The sequence below is a fragment of the Homo sapiens genome, chromosome 1 (genome assembly GCF_000001405.40).
Source record: "Homo sapiens chromosome 1, GRCh38.p14 Primary Assembly".
Classification (NCBI taxonomy): domain Eukaryota; kingdom Metazoa; phylum Chordata; class Mammalia; order Primates; family Hominidae; genus Homo; species Homo sapiens.
The window spans coordinates 102,932,102-102,951,852 of record NC_000001.11 but is presented as its reverse complement, the minus strand read 5'-3'; the positions used below and the strand labels follow the sequence as shown (position 1 = coordinate 102,951,852).

The window sequence follows — 19,751 nt, the reverse complement described above, 5'->3', positions numbered from 1 at the left end:
AAATATACATTCAATAGCAATTTTCCTGCAAATTTGAAAAATTTCTCTTGACTACATGTGTGTACATTTGAAGCCTAATTTTTATTTTATTTTATTTTATTTTATTTTTTTAAGACGGAGTCTGGCTCCGTTGCCCAGGCTCTGGAGTGCAGTGGCGCGATATCGGCTCACTGCAAGCTCCACCTCCCGGATTCACGCTATTCTCCTGCCTCAGCCTCCCGAGTAGCTGGGACTATCACCTACCACCTGCCACCACACCCGGCTAATTTTTTGTGTTTTTAGTAGAGACGCCACCACGCCCAGCTAATTTATTGTATTTGGTAGAGACAGGGTTTCACCGTGTTAGCCAGGATGGTCTCAATCTCCTGACCTCGTGATCCGCCCGCCTTGGCCTCCCAAAGTGCTGGGATTACAGGTGTGAGCCACCACTCCCGGCGTGACGCCTAAATTTTTAACATGTTCAACATGTTTGCATACATAATAAAAACACAAATGCATTATAGTTATTTAATGCATACAGTCAATATATTATTGTTTGTTAATATGAATTAAGAGACATGGAGATATTTACTACTCAGAATGTAGTGCCAAGTGCTGCATTAATTCACTCCAAAAATAATGGTAGAAAACCAAGGTTCTATAAGAAAGTGTATAAGAAATACTTTGAAGGATCTCATGCTTCTAATTCTCAGGAAAATACAATTTTTTGGTAAGATGGTATATCAGTCCATTTTCGTGCTGCTATAAAGAACTGCCCGAGACTAGATAATTTATAAAGGAAAGAGGTTTAATTGACTCACAGTACAGCACGGCTGGGGAAGCCTCGGGAAACTTACAATCATGGTGGAAGGCAAAGGGGAAGCAAGGCACCTTCTTCACAAGTAAGCAGGAAGAAGTGCCTAGCAAAGGGGGAAGAGCCCCTTATAAACCATCAGATCCCATAAGAACTCACTCATTGTCAGGAGAACAGCATGGGGGAAACTGACCTCATGATTCCATTGTCTTCACTTAATCTCTCCCTTGACAGGTGGGGATAATGAGGATTATGGAGGTTATAAAGCAAGATGAGATTTGGGTGGGGACACAAAGCCTAAGCATATCAGATGGTTATTGACCTGGGTCAAAAAAAAGAGGCTGGAATTTTAGTAGTATAGGAAAAGACCAAAGACTTTCCATGTCAGAAGATAAGTGTGACCAAATATTCAGAAGTGAAAATTGGACATATTGTGTTAGAGAGACAGTGAGAGATGTAATATTTTAGGATAAAATAATGTTCAAAGTAGAATGCTAAGATATAAAGTAAAAAAAAAATTCTAAGAATGTGAGTTGAATATTTTCTAGGATGACTGAGGATAAATATATTCTCAAAAAGATGCATTAACCCACACTATTTCAGAGTTCAGCATAGGTGAACTCTGAAATAAGGAGTGAAGGCAGATGAAAAAGTACCATGGTGTCTCCAGTGAAATGTGTTGAAAAATTACCAAAAGTGAAAACGTCCTTTGTTGTTGAAAATTACAAATAAACTTATAAACAATATGACAAAGAGCAGAGACTTCTTTTTTCTTTCGAGACAGAGTCCTGCTCTGTCACCTAGGCTGGAGTGCAGCAGTATAATCACAGCTCACTGCAGCCTTGACCTCCCTGGGCTCAGGTGACCCTCCTGTCCTGAGTAGCTGACTATAGGTGCATGCCACTACACCCAGATAATTTTTGTATTTTTATTAGAGAGGGGGTTTCACCATGTTATCCAGGTCTTGAACTCCTGGCCTCAAGCAATCTGCCCACCTTGGCCTCCCAAAGTGCTGAGATTACAGGCATGAGACACAGTGCCCAGCCAAGAGCAGAGATTCTAATGAATTGTGTATCAAAGGTCAAATGAACTGAATGAATGATGGAGAATGATTATTTGGATAAAGGAGACAAGCATTTTCATCAATTCCTTTAAGTTTTTTGTTTGTTTTACACAATGTTCAACCAAAATGAGCTTGTTTTGGTAGAAGTGGCTCTTAAGTGGCTATATTTCTTCCATTTATTAAAATTTAGCACAATTCATTGTACCCATGAGTTGTATGGGTACAATGAGTCAAGGAAATTTTGTTTTCACCATTTATAAACTGCTAAGCGTTGTAGAAAATACTTGGTAGTGAATTAGGGCACACAGACCTTGAGTCCATGGTTTTTAACTTAAAAATATACAAGTCATACAGCAATAAAATTATATTGCATATGCAAAGCACTTAGCACAATAATTGTTAATTAGTAGGTATAATAATTGTAAGTCAGTTAATTCTCTTAAAATGGACTTCAAACTTTTGTTGATTCTCCCTTTTTCATTCTAGTCTAGTACCCATCAACTTCGCCATAGCCTAGTGTGATATCTTCCTAGGGTATTCTTTGAACAGTTAGGGTTTAAACAGGATTAAAGAGAGAAAAATTTTATGGCCCGACAAATTAAAATCGCACCTCTTTTTGTATAGCCAATTACAAATAAAATACTGCAGAAGTTAAATTGAATGCTTATTCTAGATTTGATAAAACTAATGGATAGCAATCATTTTGTGAGGGTTAGAAGTGAAATACTAAACAAAATTGTAATATAGTCACCTTATATGTACATTGATCCTCAATAAATCAGTGTTTCAGATTAGTGGAGATTTATCTTTAGTGGTATTAATTTTAACTTGAGTAGAATAACCCTAGTTGCATCATGTGTTGTCTTCTGTTGATGTGTTTCTGTTACCAAAAAAGGAGCACTTTTATTACTGACTTTTTTCTTTTCTCTCTTTTTAGTAATTCAAGGGACACCTTTGCATTCCTCTCAATTCATAGACCTTGCTCTTCTTGCTCTTCTTCTTATCCACCTCCTATACTTTTTTCTTCCTTCCTGACCTCCCTCTCAAAGAATTAGAGGCAAATATTTGTGTTCTTTTTACTCTTAGGGTTGCTCATTTTGAATGTGCAACAGTAGGAGGATTCTATTATTTTTTCTACTGCATTGACTTCTATAATCATTCAACAGGAGTCTGTTACCTGGTTAACAGTAATACAACTTGTGGTTGACTATTTTATTCATAAAATATTTTAATATTATTAAATTAAAAAATACATTGATGAAAAAGTATATGTTTATTATCAAAAAAGTACTAACTGCAATTTTCTCTTATAACTATAGCCTCCTCTTTAGTATTTGGAATACTTCATTGGTAAAAATAGAGTTTACATACAACTCATTTATTATGCAATATAAGAATATTCCCTAGATTAGTTTTTGAATATATACTTACTCACAGCTCAAAAATGCCACTTTTGTTTATATAAAGCTCAAATTTCACAATTTCCTTAATTATATTTTTGGCAATGTCTCTCCAAATTATTTCTATCAACTAACTTTAAGATACCCAATAATTACAAACATTGATGTCCTCATTAGAAAGAACCAATGGGTGGCTTTGTCAAGAAATCAGAGTAGAGTCCAAGCTCAGGGTTCTCTTAACTAGTTATATGATTACAGGAAGGACGGTTAACTTCTTTGAGCCAGAGATTCTTCATTTTTAAAACAGATGCTACAACAGCTCTATAAACTACCTGGAATTGTTGTGAGAATAAAATAAGATGAAAGTTAAACTGATTTGTGAATTGTAAAGCATTATGTTAATACAAGTTGTTGGTATAGTTACCATTTTTATCACATGTAATTAGTTTCCTGGTTAATAAAAATACAAATTAGAACAAAGTCAATAATGTAAATTTGTATAATAAAATGATTTCTAATATATCATTAAGTATAATAGTAGAAAACATAAAGTAGTATATTTTCCAGCTTTTATAAATAATTTTCTCTGAGTTTTGAAATGATGATGTTATCTAAGTATGTTAATTATTAAGAAAAAATACTAACAATTATATTTTCTAATATTTTACATTTAGTTTAAACATAAAATAAAAAGATAAATTGTAATTCAATCACCCCTCTGAGAATCCAAAGACAATTTTTTGTTATCTTTTAGTAACTAAAATTGGAAGTAGAAATAGATTATACTTGAGCTTTACAATACTTAGTATGTATGTTTGCATTTCTTTTATTCTTGTTTTAATAATGTTTTCTTAAATTGTTGGTACAGATAATTACTATAAAAGCAGTATCCATGTGATTATTTTCAAAAATCTATATATATGAGGTTTTTTAAAAAAGCAAACTAGTTAAAAGCATTACATCTTTTTTGAAACTCAGTTAAAAAAAATTAAAAAACCTAATCAGATTCAAATGATCTCATCAGTGTTCATAAGACCCAGTGGTCCTATAGAACTCTAAGTTGAATTTAATAGCTTATCCTTTGGGAAAACGTCCAGACTTTAGGATAGTGATTATCAAATGTTATTTTGTAAAAAATTTTGTGTGTATCCTAATGCAAAGAATTTCTGAACCCATTTTTTTTATTTTGAAACCTTGGTTCAGCACATTTGAAAAAAAGCCTAGAAATTACTTCAAGAAACACTAGTTTAGGGATTGTATTCTGCCAATTCATTATAATACAGGGAGAAATTTATGTAGGAGGTTATTAGATATATTTTTTATAAAGCATTGTGCACAATTATGAACACTTAAATGGAAACAGATAACATTAAATAAATATTAAATACATCTAATTTTGATGTATTTTTTCATCTCATCAATATTTTCTAACATCAACATCTATGCTTAATATTGGGGCTGGAAATTAGTCTCTCAAATAGTGGATTCAACTGTTTCTCTTTGGGATCTTAAAATTATCTAAACTCTAAATGTTTCTTTAACATAATTTACTAGACTGTAAGAAGCTATTGTTAAATAAGTGATTCTTAAGCCAGTATTACTTTCTTTAATAACAAAATACTTCTTTTCCTGTATACTAGGGCTCACCAGGAGAACGTGGGTCAGCAGGTACAGCTGGCCCAATTGGTTTACCAGGGCGCCCGGGACCTCAGGGTCCTCCTGGTCCAGCTGGAGAGAAAGGTGCTCCTGTAAGTAATGTCTAGGAGAAAATATATTATGCTGCTACCCTGTACACGTTATTACTTTTTATTCAATAATATTAGCTTTTCATACACCACCGTATTCTCTCTGCATATGTGTCTGGCATGTAAATACCCTGGCTCGTATATGTATAATAGAGAAAATTTCAAATTCAATTAAATGAGATGACATTTTCCCACACTTTATGAAACCGTAATACCTGTGAGGGAGTTGGATATTATTAATGTAAAAGGCTTTTCATTTTGCTTTTTTTAAAAAAAAAAAGTTGTGAGTTTTTTATTGAAGCTATACCTTGCTGCTTTACATTAGAAAAGTGTGAACTTTTTACACCTCTTGTAATACAAATTCAATTTCAAGCATTTCCATAGTCTGTAAATAAGACTCATAGAAAATAGCTGCCCTTCTCATGTAATCTGAGCTCCGATCGCCAGTGAGTGAGACAGGGAACATCTCACTAATTATTTCATCTAATATCTATTGGATTTTAACATTTTTTGGGGGGGGGTTTATTATACTTTAAGTTTTAGGGTACATGTCCACAATGTGCAGGTTAGTTACATATGTATACATGTGCCATGCTGGTGTGCTGCACCCATTAACTCGTCATTTAGCATTAGGTATATCTCCTAATGCTATCCCTCCCCCCTCCCCCCACCCCACAACAGTCCCCAGAGTGTCATGTTCTCCTTCCTGTGTCCATGTGTTCTCATTGTTCAGTTCCCATCTATGAGTGAGAACATCTGGTGTTTGGTTTTTTGTCCTTGCGATAGTTTACTGAGAATGATGATTTCCAATTTCATCCATGTCCCTACAAAGGACATGAACTCATCATTTTTTATGGCTGCATAGTATTCCATGGTGTATGTGTGCCACATTTTCTTAATCCAGTCTATCATTGTTGGACATTTGGGTTGGTTCCAAGTCTTTGCTATTGTGAATAGTGCCGCAATAAACATACGTGTGCATGTGTCTTTATGGCAGCATGATTTATAGTCCTTTGGGTATATACTCAGTTTATATTTACATGACTATGGACTATTCCACTCATTATGTTTAGGTTTCTTTGTTAAGATTTCTTCTCTATTTTTTTTCCTGCTTTTGATATGATTGTATTTTTTAAAAATGATTCTCTCTTCCTACAAGATTAAAACACAAACTGTTTCAGTAAATGTAGATAAAAAGTATTGGCTCTGATACACAAAAATATAAGTTGAATATTTTTGTATACTGGTAAGTATTGATATATAAAATTAAGCTTAAGCTTATATTCAAAAATACTCCTCTATCACTAAGACTTCAGTTTTATCAAGTTGATTTGCTTTCATTGTCTATGCATTTTCTCTGATTATTCTGTGATATTATTCCAATATTTCTGTTTGAGACCATTTTGTGCAGTTATAACAGAATACCACAGACTGGGTAATTTATAATGAACAAAAATATATTGGCTCATGGTGCTGGTGGATGGAAAGTCCAAGATAGTGGGGCCACATCTGGTAAAGAACTTCTTGGCACATCATCCCATGGTAGATGGAGAAAGACAGGGCTAGAGAGAGAGAGAGAGAGAGAGAGAGAGAGAGAGAGAGAGTAAAAAGAAAACAAATTCCCTTTGTTTTAATGAACCCACTAATGCAATAACGGCATTAATTAATTTCATTTTGCCCTCATGGCCTAATCAGCTTTCATTAGGCCCTACTCCCCCACACTGTTGCACTGGGAATTAAGTTTCCAAAAGATGTTTTTTTGGTGACACATTCAAACTGTAGCAAATAAAAAAAAAATGTTTTCTGTAATCCATTACCTTTCAGAAAGAGTTAGAATGTTGGAATGGGCCATGCCACCTGTGGATAGAACTTTTAGGTGACAGAAAAAGCACTTTTAATATGCTGAGAAAATATATTTTATAGTGTACTGTGTACTAGGAGAAGATAGAAAATAGATTCAGTTCCTTTAATACAAATTAATTAAAAAATATAGGGAACACATATTTTGCACAATACACTAAATAATGCATACAGAGAAAATAGACATAAATTGCTTTGTATACAAATTGAGAATATACTAATTAGATAAGTCAATATTTCTGTGAAGATAATATATTGAATGGTAGATTTTAAAGTGGATAAAAACCTTAGATTTATGAAGAATAAGTAAGTTATTGAAATAAAGATCAGAATATCAAAAAACATTGAAACCGATAAGAAATTAATTAGGTGAGACAGATGAAAAATTATTGACATTAGCCTTTGTAAGAGCCAGGATTCAGGCCTGAGTTTTGTTGGTAATTAGTGATATCATAACTAGAGAAGGGAAAAGGGAATGCCTTGCTTCCCCATCCTCTTTCAGTTATCCCAGCCAAGGACAACAACTCCAGCATGCTCATTCCATTTTCTATTAGCCAAAATTAGCTATTTAGAATAACTAAGGGGTAGGCACTGTATTGTTAGCATTATACTTTTGAAGGAGCTGTCTGCTTAGGGACAGTAACATAAAGTGGGTAATAAGAGTGTTCAGTGAAAGGAGTTATAGATATCCATTCAGAAGTTTAATAAAAACTGATGAAAATGTTGGGCAAAATGTTATATCTAGACTTTACTTCTTCCTCTTTTCAAATATAAATTTTAGATCTTACCTCTGCTGAGCAGCTTATCTTATAAAAATGTTATGCAGTTATCAGCAGGTTTACATTTGCATTAAAAGAAAGGCAAGATGTGACCTGTGGAAGACAAGCCCTTGGTCTACCTACCCATCAACCCTGCTTCCTAGAATGGAGAAATGTCCTAATTAGCATCCCTATATTATTAATCAGTTAGATTAGAAACTCTAGGAGGTGAGTCTGGAAAGCAGGTAAGAAGAAAGGGGCTAAAACCTTCTCCAATTTAATTTCATTGATAGAAAATTTTGATAGGGAAACTGATTCTAATGAAAACTATTAGTTACTGGATGCAAAGATTACAGAGAAGAAGTGATTTTAACTATGCATCTATTTGGGGACAGTTGTAGAAATTGGGGGGAAGAGCTAGATCTAAAACACAGTGAAGTCAATGCACTAACTATAACTGAATTAGGCAATAGCAGTTTGAAATTTTAGGAAAAGTATTCTTCAAATACTTATTTACAATTTCTAGCATGTATGTGTGTATAATTGCAGAGAAAATAATCAGTGCCAGAATTGTAAGTCTGGGAGTCATTTAAAATAAGAGTGATGTTTAAAAGCATATTTTTGGATTACCACGTGATGTAGTGTTGAGAGAAAACAGAAGCCTGGACTCAAGTCTTAATGGAGAATTATAATGGGTGTAAGTTCTGAAAGCATCTAATAAGAGAGAAAAATAGTCCATGAGGTTGTTTGTGTGTGTGTGTGTGTGTGTGTGTGTGTGTGTATGTGTGTGTGTGTGTATCTCCAGAGGCATGCCATCAAACAGAACAAGACATAAACAAGTTCCCTTTTGTGGGATGTAAAAGATCGAGAATACTGAAATCCGAAAGACAAAGAAATAAAGAGACTGGGATTTTACCTGCTGGGTATTTATACCTTTAGATTAATTCTAAATTGATTCAAAAAGAAAAAAAATGGACTATAGAGGAGTGGAGTAGGGACATGTAAATCACCTCAAGCAGGGCATGGAACCCATAGAAAAATGAGCCATAGGTGGAAGTACTAATAAGATTGAATGCGTTGCCTCATTATTATTATTATGTGGTGCATATATTTATCTACTTTATCAATAATAAGAAAATAGTCAGTGGAAAAGTTAAGGAGTTAAGGAAATGAGAGTAGACTCAAGTTGCCTGCTTGAAGACAACCAGAAGTGGGTTGGGAGCTACCCCTATCATTTATTTAGTTCATGATTTTGGTTAAGTTATTTAAAATCAAAACCTCTGTTTTCTCAACTCTGAAAAGAAGATGGCCATCTCTGAAAAGAAGATAATCACAGTATTTTGTGAGGACTAGATAAAATTATAGTTCTAAATCATTTTTCAGAATTGTGATAAGTTGTGAGAAGTGTTCAGAATAATCATTACTATTAGTAGTAGTATTATCATTACCATCAGTGTGTGAATCAGAGTGCCATAAAAAAGGATGAAATAATAAACTGAGAATGAATACACAAATGAGCTTTTGAGGAAGGAGTGATGGATTTTGTGAATTGTAATAAAAGTTGTGGGTGTGAGTATAGGTTAAATATAAGACCATGCCAAATCAAACAAAAGACATGGGGATGTTTAGCTAATTCTATCATTTTTTAAGGAAAGATTTAGTTATTAACGTAAATGGAATGTTAGAAGTGGTGAAATAAAGAACGGTTACAAGGAGAGATGAATGTTTCCAGTAGTTGTGCAGATTGTGGGCCAAGAGATACATAATGGAGGAAGAGTTATGTCATCTTGAGGAATTATAAATGGCTAATATAAATTTAGAGTGCTGTAGATCTGTTGAATTTCTCCCAACATCACACAGACCAGGGTCAGAAGAAATGAATGGCAAGTGATTCCTGGCTAGAGATTATGTGTACTATAATGAAGGCAGAAGAGAATATATCTGCCTTATTTACAGGAAACCTTATACAAAAGGATTGACTTTTAGAGTTTAAGGCTAGCAAGGGAATTCAAATTAAGGGGAACTATCTGAATCAACTATTGTATTTAATATAGTGAAGTTTACTGTGAATAGCACAGCACATCCTATGAGTATTGATAGATTTGAAATATCATATTTATTTGAAGAAGATAAAAGGTCTCCAGAGTGACATCAGGGGCATCCTTCTTATAATAATTATGGCATCCTTTTGAAAAACAAGAACATATGAAACCCAGGCAAGTAATAAATTAGTTAACAATTTAATTTTGCCTTATTAATGTTGTTACTTTTGTTGTCATTAATTAAGTAATGTAGCAACAGTTCCTTAAGTGACTACTCTGGTCCACAGGCCAGAGATATATAATAGAATGCAAAATCAGACACAATTCCTACCCTCACATAGTTTATTATCTGATAGGGCAATTTGATAATATGCAAAGAATCACTAAATACATATATAATGGCAAACTCAGGTTACTCATATGAATGGAATGTAATAGTGTATGTCAGATTATAGTAGAGAGACCTGCTAGAATTGGGGACTTTCCTTGGACAAGGCATTGATGGTGAGATGTAAAAGATGAGAAGGAATTAACTATGCAAAGAGTTCTCATAGGGGCATTCCAGGCCAGAGGAAAAAAATGTGCTCAGGCAATGTCACAGGAATGGACATGGCATCAGATTTAAGGGACTGAGAAAAATGTCTAGAAGGGTTGGAATGCAGAGAGCAAGGGTTAGGGGAGGCTAGATGTGTTTGGGCAGGTAGCAGGAGCTAGATCATGGTAGGCTGCCCTAAGCCATGAAGTCTTTATCTGAGGAAAAGTAAACAAGTAAATTGACCTAAGAATGTAGGTAACATGATCTGATTGGCTTTCTGGATGCAGTGTGATGAATAGATTGGAAGGAAGTAAGAATACGTATGGGGAAAGGCAGGAGGTTTTTTTCAGTAGCTCAGAACAAGGATACCAGTATTATAGAGTAAGGTGTCAGTGATGGAGATAAAGTCAATATATTCAAGAGATAATTAGGAGATAAAATGTCTAAAACTAAGTCATTTTAAAGGAGCAGGAGATGTTAAGGGAAGTGAGGGAAAGTGGGGTAATGAAAAGGCAAAACCTAATGACTTGTAGATTCCCAGCTTGTATAACAGAAGGACAGAAAGGACCTCTGAATGCAATCAAAAATATTATCTTGTGCAAAACTGATGAAATTTTGACTCTTAGAAAATAATTTATTTTAAATTACAAAAATATATTTTATCGGAAACAGAAGTTGAGTTCATTATCAAGGCACTTTTAAAAAATTACACAGTATAGGTAAATTTAAACATGAAAATAATGCCATTTTTAAAAACCAGGAGAACCAAAACAAACACTTAAAAATAAGAAAGTTACATATGAAACATATAAAGCATATGGCAAAGTTGGACATATGAGCAACTGCATTTTTTGATTTCTAAAGCCTAATACCCATTGCACAGCTATGCCAGTGGCACTAAGGAAGGGGAGAAGAGGCTCAGCAAAGTTTTGCAAATGTAAGAAATCTGATTTGTCAATATATAATAATTGCATGTTTGAAAGAAAAATTCTAAGTTGGGTCCTAATTATTTTTGTGTATCATAGCCTAAGATTTATAAGTGATTTAAAAAAATAGTATTCTTAGTCACAAATGAAGGTAGGGAACATGTATCATTTATTCTTTAAAATGTTTTTCTAAAAAACATTAAACAATATCCTTGTCAAATATAGAAGCTAGATTATTACTCTTGTAGCTGCACTTCAAAACTGTAAAATTAATGATCTTTGGATATTCAATACAGGGAGAAAAAGGTCCCCAAGGGCCTGCAGGGAGAGATGGAGTTCAAGGTCCTGTTGGTCTCCCAGGGCCAGCTGGTCCTGCCGGCTCCCCTGGGGAAGACGGAGACAAGGTTGGTATTCATTATTCGTGTTAGTAGATCCTGTGAAAAAGCTTAATTTTTGTCAAGAATTCTAGATAATTCTAATCTTTATGATTAGGCGCCAGGTGAAAGGTTACCTTTTTCAAAGTTTCACACACATTTTCATATGCTCAAAAGTTTTATTTAAGAGGTTCAGAATTAGTATCTGTTCCATAAAATAGTATGTGATACATAAACAGAAAACTCAATTAAAAGAACAGTGGTAGTGAGAAAAACTAGTAGATGCCAAAATTTATTTATTTTTAAGAATATCCTTCTGAAATGAATATAAAATAAAAAAATTAATTACATGTATATGGTTAGTCCTCATGTCTTGGATATTGTACAATAAGACTTAAGAATGAGCTACATATTTACTTCATAATCCTGTTATCATTTACCAACATGTGAGTACAGACTCTAAGCTCCTAATTCCAAATGTATGGCTGTGTGTTAAATGTTTCAATTGAATACATCATTATATTATTTTAAAATATTATTTAAAAATTTTTAAACCAGCACTCTGATAATGTGCATCATTTTAGCATCTGGAAAATTAGCAGAAAAGAATTTTTTCCATTATTTTGTTTTTATTTTTATTTTTTACTTTTTTGAGAGAGAGAGTCTTTTTTTGTCGCCCAGGCTGGAGTGCAGTGGTGCAACAGGGCTCACTGCAGCCTCAAACTCCTGGACTTGAGCGATCCTCCCACCTCAGCTTCCCAAGTAGCTGAGACTACAAGCATGCCTCACCATGTGCAGCTAACTTTTTAAAAACATTTATTTGTAGGACAGGGTCTCACTATGCTTCCTAGGCTGATCTTAAACTCCTGGGCCCAACCTTTCACCTCAACCTCCCAAAACCTGGGATTACAGGTGCGCGACCCAGAACCTAGCTGGTAAAGTAATTTTTGATTAATGTGTAATTATAGATTTTATATGTCAGTGTATTTCCGTTACCAGTTTATACAGGTAATATTTGAGACAAAATTGATTTTTGAATTATAAATTCAGTTGTAGTATACTTTGAAGTTAAACGGACTTGTCTGTTAACATATTAGTCAATATTAGAAAGCTAGAAGCAGTGGGAACCCAAGATTTTCCATTTTAAACAGTGACATTACACACTAGCATGTAATTATATTAAAGGTAAAATTTAACTGTTTGATGATAATTAAGACAATGCAATAGCATGTTAGAGATAAACTCTAAGTCAAATCTTTCAATTTCAGGGTGAAATTGGTGAGCCGGGACAAAAAGGCAGCAAGGGTGACAAGGGAGAAAATGTGAGTTTCCTACTTCTTACTGAGAGAACATTATTTATTTAACAACTTTTACTGTTTACCATTGATATTTTTATATAGTGCTACTTACTTTCCTAGCCAATACTTATAATACCAATACTACATTACCTCTGCAGTTATATCATTCTATAATTTTATATATTTGTGAAGTTTTCTATTTCTGTGATTAAGTAAAGTATGATGATTGTAAGGCCATTATTTATAACTCTGCTATAGCACATGAAAGAGTAACATAATGAAATAGTCTTTTTTGTATGATTATGAGAAATTTTGTATACATATATTTACCAAAATTAACAGTATTACTATGTTCTACATGTATACAAATTGGTCACTTATTCCCATATGTTATAAATACTTATTTTAAAATTTTTCATTTAAATCATAAAACTTCAATATAATTTTGGTTGTTCATTCAAATGGTGTGTTCACTCTTGTCTTTATGATGTTTTTCTTTGGTCACTACCAGTATATATTCTCTTTAAATTATGTATTTAAACATGTTCCTACTTCTTAAATGAAATATGTTAGATGATGATACTGTCACATGCTTCAGCACTTCCTTACTAATTTATACTCTCTAAAGAATATCTGTGGACATTATTTTCTAAGTTCTTTTTTTTTAATTTTTTTTTCCCTTTAAGTGTTCATGTATTTGCTCTCTGATAGAAACATAAATTGGGGGAGTACAGAGATATGTCCTTCAAGTTTTTTTTTTCACCTAGTATGGAAGTTTATACATTATCCCCAGCAATTTCATTCTAACAGACCAGTCTGGTTCTATTTTGTGATCCATCAGTCTGATGCTTTTAGGGTTGGATTTACTGCCTACATTAACACATAACGGAAAGAAGATTTTTATTAGAATTGATGGAATCCCAAACTGAAGAGTTACCATAGTCCTATGAGATGAATTTTTCTAACTAAAAAGAAAACACTAGAATGAAAAGAGAAAAAGCTTGTAGTAATAATTGTAGTATTTAATGCATAATTCATTTTTATATGCAGTGAAACAAAACACCAACAAACAGGTGATAGCACTGATACTCCAGATCCATGCTGTAAAATTATGACAAGAAATTGTGTACAGAAAACCGGCTGCATATGTTTGATGCAGTTAGTATTGACTATACATTTACAAAATGTATTTTGGTATCTGCCTTAGTCTGTTTTGTGTTACTATAAATGAATACCCGAGGCTGGATAATTTATAAGGAAAATAGGGTTACTTGGCTTACAGTTCAGCAGGTTGTACAAAGAAGCCTGGGGCTGGCATCTGCTTGGCTTATGGTGAGGGCTTTTGTTCTGTGTCAAAACATGGCAGAGAAGTTCAAAGGGGAACCGGGCCTGAACAAGGAGGGACCAAACCCTACAGGAGTGCTGACTTTAAAACAACCCTCTTTCATGGGAACTAATTCATTCCTTCAAGAAACAATTCAATCTCCCCAGAGCAAGAACTCAATCGCTATGCAGCTATTCCTGATGGATCCACCTTAAGAACCAAAACACCTCCATTTAGGCCCCACCCCCAACACTGGGAATTAAATTTCAACATGAGTTTTAGTGGGGACAAACCATATCCAAACGATAGCAGTAAATTACTTTAGATTCCATTTAGATTTCTTAATTATAAATAAATACTATGGATTTAATTAGACTACCTTATACACTCGACAGAAGCCACATTTTTAAAAGTTTTATTTACTCCTTAAAAGCAATGCTAAAATGACTGCATGGCCATTATATGGGCCAGCAAATCTCAAATATTTTTGCCTTAGGACCCTTGCATACTCGGAAAGGTTTTTAGGAGCCCAAAAAGCTTTTGTCTATGTGGGTTACTATCATATGAATGAAAGCTGATATATTTAAAATATTTATGTATTGATTTATTTATAATTAAGAATAATAAGCCCAAAGCACTTTTAATAAAAACTAGCTATATTTTTGCAAATAAAAATATATAGTCCCAAGAGTACCATTGTTACATTTGTTTTGTCTAGCTTAATAGAAGAAGCTATATTCTCATATCTAGTTCAGCCTGTGGTGACATGTTTTTTTGGTTGAAAGCATGAAGAAAATCTAAGCTCACATAAATTATGTAGTTATAAAAGGGAGGGGCATTTTCAGTACCTTTTCAGATAATTTTGAATATTCTTTGATTTTACATAGAAATTTTATAAGTGGTAGTTTTTCTTAAGGGTCAATTGCACAACAGAATTTGAAACAAAAACAGTGAGCTTTTTGTGCTATTACATTATATTCCACTGCTCTATCTTGCACGTTGATGACTATGTTTCATACATAATTTTGTAATATCCTTCATTGATAATTTGGAAATTATTGATTTCCTGGGTAAGGTCCTCAAAGTGTTGACACAATTCTTTATGCGATATTAATATCATAGGAAAATACTTTCAGATTGGGAAGATATAAAGCCTGCAATGGCAGATGAGACATTTCCAAAATTCTAATTTTTGCTTTAAAGTTTGAACGTTATTGACAGTAAATACTGTCAGTTGTTTTCTTTGAAATCCAAGGCTTCCTTTATATTGAATAACATCTGCCAAAATCATACTTACTATTTATAATCACACTTATTATTTATAACTGATTATTTATAATCACATTTATTATTTATAACTAAAAAATCATAGTTTTTCTGTCAGCCGCTCTTTCAAGTAAAAATAGCGTTCCATGTAAAAGTTAGTGTTCCATGTAAAAGTTCAGCCAGCATTTCAAACTATAATCCAAATGTTTGTAGGGCTTTTTTTTTTTTTTGAGACAAGCACTGTACTTCAGTATGAGGCAAACATACTTTATGTATGTCTTCAGTTTGTCAAATGAATATGAAAAGACACATATTCAAGGTCAATATTTAATAATATTAATAACTTTCAAAGCCTCATCAATACAATTACATCCATGACATTCTTAGATGGAACAGCCATTTTTGTGTTGATTGAAAGTATATCGTGGTAAAATACAATTAATGCTATTACAAATGGTAGCTACCAACATGATAAGCGCTAAGTTACCAGCAACTTTATTCACCACGGATTTTACATCATTAGTGCAAAAGTCTATATAGTTAAAGGACAAAAAATGCCTTACTGTTGTTATGAGAAGAGTTATGAACTAGCAGAATCCTAAAAGCATATCAAGAACTCCCAATGGCCCATGAACCAGCTTTTCAAAATCTTGCTTTAACAGTTCCCCCACAAGTAGTAGTTACAATACAGAACAATACAGTTCAATGACAGTTTTATTTCTTTAATGCCTGAACCTTTTATATTGCCTGACCCGTTACTAATGTAAGAAAATGAGACAATGAAGAAATATCTATGCATGTAAGACTCATAATGTCTTTTGAAAACTATTGCTCAAAATAAGAGGTCCTGGTGTACTTAATATATAACAATTAGTTTACATGTGTACGCATATGTGAAAATTCCAAATTTTCATATATTACTACATTCTATCTGTATAGAACCCTCAGAATTCTGATATTCACTCAGAAGACAGTATATAGACAATTTTTTCATGGGCCCTTTCCTAATCATATTTATCTCATTAAAGAAATCTGATACTTTGAAAATTTTCAAATGCGAATCTTACAACTTGATGTCTGATAGCATAGAAATCTATCTTGAAGATTCACAACATTACAAATGAGAGTGTTTTCAACAAATGTCAACTTAAAATTGATTTCAAATGTGAAAGCTTGAGTCTCAAGGAGTAAAATAAATAATGATTGCAGTAAATGCAAAATAATTCTATGTGATGCTTCTTTTTTTCCAAAGGAGTGCAGAAGTGTTTGATCTTGGTAGGCTAAATGTTCTGTTTCATATGGCTGAGGCTCTTCTGGCTTCACTTTAAAAATTACTTATTTTTATCTCACTGCAGGGCCCTCCCGGTCCCCCAGGTCTTCAAGGACCAGTTGGTGCCCCTGGAATTGCTGTGAGTATTCCACATTGTTCAGCAAATCTAAATCCTTACAGCTCCCTGATTAAATTTGTATACTGTCCCATAACCAGTCAATTTTGTGGGGTAATAAGTTTTGTTTGTATGTTTGACATTAAATCAAATTTAAATTATCAAATATAGCTAGCCGTGCTGATTCTTAGAAACAAAACATATTGTAACTTCATTTGAAAGTAAGTAATAATTTGTTGAGAATTCCTTAATAGATAATAATTCAGAAAATTATTTCCGTTATTAGACAGCTTTTACTTCACTTGGTATACAGGATCAAATCAAAATCAGTTATGATCCAGAAGCAAAGAAAATAAGCAAAACAAACAATAGTATATTGGAGCAGATAATGGGCATTCAGTCTACTTTTTACTTGGTTATTCTTAAATACATCTGCTTTGATTAAATTAGAAATGGCCACATTTTTTAATGACTCATATCGTAATGATTTTTTCCAGTTTGTGATAATGTTTCTTTCTCTTCTCTAGGGAGGTGATGGTGAACCAGGTCCTAGAGGACAGCAGGGGATGTTTGGGCAAAAAGGTGATGAGGGTGCCAGAGGCTTCCCTGGACCTCCTGGTCCAATAGGTCTTCAGGTAAGATGATCCTGTCATTGTTTACTCCATCATTTCTACCTACTTCTCACCAGGTTTTCTGGTGGATGTAAAACAAAGTATTTTTTTCTTTTTTTCTACGTAAGAACTTGGGTACAATGTTTATCCATAAAGATCATTTTATTTTTAAATGAGCAGCTGAACTTGAAATCATTTTATCATGTATGATTAATTCTCCTGAACATGTATCAGCCCTCGCTCCTGATTCTGGAGTATTTTTAGACCCACCTTAATTATTACACTTCCTTTCTTCACTCCCATTTTGTTTGGAAAATGAATTACAACCTTGCCTAAGTCTGATACTTAAAAGTAAGATAGGAGGAGCCAAGATGGCCGAATAGGAACAGCTCCAGTCTACAGCTCCCAGCGTGAGCGACGCAGAATACAGGTGATTTCTGCATTTTCATCTGAGGTACCGGGTTCATCTCACTAGGGAGTGCCAGACAGTGGGCGCAGGTCAGTGGGTGCGCGCACCGTGTGCGAGCCGAAGCAGGGCCAGGCATTGCCTCACTTGGGAAGCAAAAGGGGTCAGGGAGTTCCCTTTCTGAGTCAAAGAAAGGGGTGACGGACTCACCTGGAAAATCGGGTCACTCCCACCGGAATACTGCACTTTTCCGACCGGCTTAAAAAACGGCGCACCACGAGATTATATCCGGCACCTGGCTCAGAGGGTCCTACGCCCACGGAGTCTCGCTGATTGCTAGCACAGCAGTCTGAGATCAAACTGCAAGGTGGCAGCGAGGCTGGGGGAGGGGCGCCCGCCATTGCCCAGGCTTGCTTAGGTAAACAAAGCAGCCAGGAAGCTCGAGCTGGGTGGAGCCCACCACAGCTCAAGGAGGCCTGCCTGCCTCTGTAGGCTCCACCTCTGGGGGGCAGAGCACTGACAAACAAGACAACAGTAACCTCTGCAGACTTAAATGTCCCTGTCTGAAAGCTTTTAAGAGAGCAGTGGTTCTCCCAGCACGCAGCTGGAGATCTGAGAACAGGCAGACTGCCTCCTCAAGTGGGTCCCTGACCCCTGACCCCCGAGCAGCCTAACTGGGAGGCACCCCCCAGCAGGGGCACACTGACACCTCACACGGCAGGGTATTCCAACAGACCTGTAGCTGAGGGTCCTGTCTGTTAGAAGGAAAACTAACAAACAGAAAGGACATCCACACCAAAAACCCATCTGTACATCACCATCATCAAAGACCAAAAGTAGATAAAACCACAAAGATGGGGAAAAAACAGAACAGAAAAACTGGAAACTCTAAAAAGCAGAGCACCTCTCCTCCTCCAAAGGAACGCAGTTCCTCACCAGCAATGGAACAAAGCTGGATGGAGAATGACTTTGATGAGCTGAGAGAAGAAGGCTTCAGACGATCAAATTACTCTGAGCTACGGGAGGACATTCAAACCAAAGGCAAAGAAGTTGAAAACTTTGAAAAAAATTTAGAAGAAGGTATAACTAGAATAACCAATACAGGGAAGTGCTTAAAGGAGCTGATGGAGCTGAAAACCAAGGCTCGAGAACTACGTGAAGAATGCAGAAGCCTCAGGAGCCGATGCGATCAACTGGAAGAAAGGGTATCAGCGAGGGAAGATGAAATGAATGAAATGAAGCAAGAAGGGAAGTTTAGAGAAAAAAGAATAAAAAGAAATGAGCAAAGCCTCCAAGAAATATGGGACTATGTGAAAAGACCAAATCTACGTCTGATTGGTGTACCTGAAAGTGATAGGGAGAATGGAACCAAGTTGGAAAACACTCTGCAGGATATTATCCAGGAGAACTTCCCCAATCTAGCAAGGCAGGCCAATGTTCAGATTCAGGAAATACAGAGAATGCCACAAAGACACTCCACGAGAAGAACAACTCCAAGACACATAATTGTCAGATTCACCAAAGTTGAAATGAAGGAAAAAATGTTAAGGGCAGCCAGAGAGAAAGGTCGGGTTACCCTCAAAGGGAAGCCCATCAGACTAACAGCGGATCTCTCGGCAGAAGCCCTACAAGCCAGAAGAGAGTGGGGGCCAATATTCAACATCTTAAAGAAAAGAATTTTCAACCCAGAACTTCATATCCAGCCAAACTAACCTTCATAAGTGAAGGAGAAATAAAATCCTTTACAGACAAGCAAATGCTGAGAGATTTTGTCACCACCAGGCCTGCCCTAAAAGAGCTCCTGAAGGCAGTGCTAAACATGGAAAGGAACAACCGGCACCAGCCACTGCAAAATCAGGCCAAAATGTAAAGACCATCGAGACTAGGAAGAAAGTGCATCAACTAACGAGCAAAATAACCAGCTAACATCATAATGACAGGATCAAATTCACACATAACAATATT

At 35.0% G+C, this 19,751-nt stretch overlaps 1 protein-coding gene across 9 annotated transcripts in view; it reads left to right on the top strand.

The window, feature by feature from the left end:
* Positions 1–19,751, top strand: part of COL11A1 (collagen type XI alpha 1 chain) — a 232,050-nt gene that overhangs the window by 156,670 nt on the left and 55,629 nt on the right. For all 9 annotated transcript variants that reach the window (NR_134980.2, NM_001190709.2, NM_080629.3 and 6 more), the window contains 5 exons: positions 4,897–5,004; positions 11,419–11,526; positions 12,765–12,818; positions 16,740–16,793; positions 17,297–17,404. Coding sequence is in view for 8 of the 9 variants with exons in the window: in NM_001190709.2 (NP_001177638.1) it covers positions 4,897–5,004; positions 11,419–11,526; positions 12,765–12,818; positions 16,740–16,793; positions 17,297–17,404 (432 nt within the window). In the remaining variant the exon portion in view is untranslated. The remainder of the gene's footprint in view (positions 1–4,896; positions 5,005–11,418; positions 11,527–12,764; positions 12,819–16,739; positions 16,794–17,296; positions 17,405–19,751) is intronic.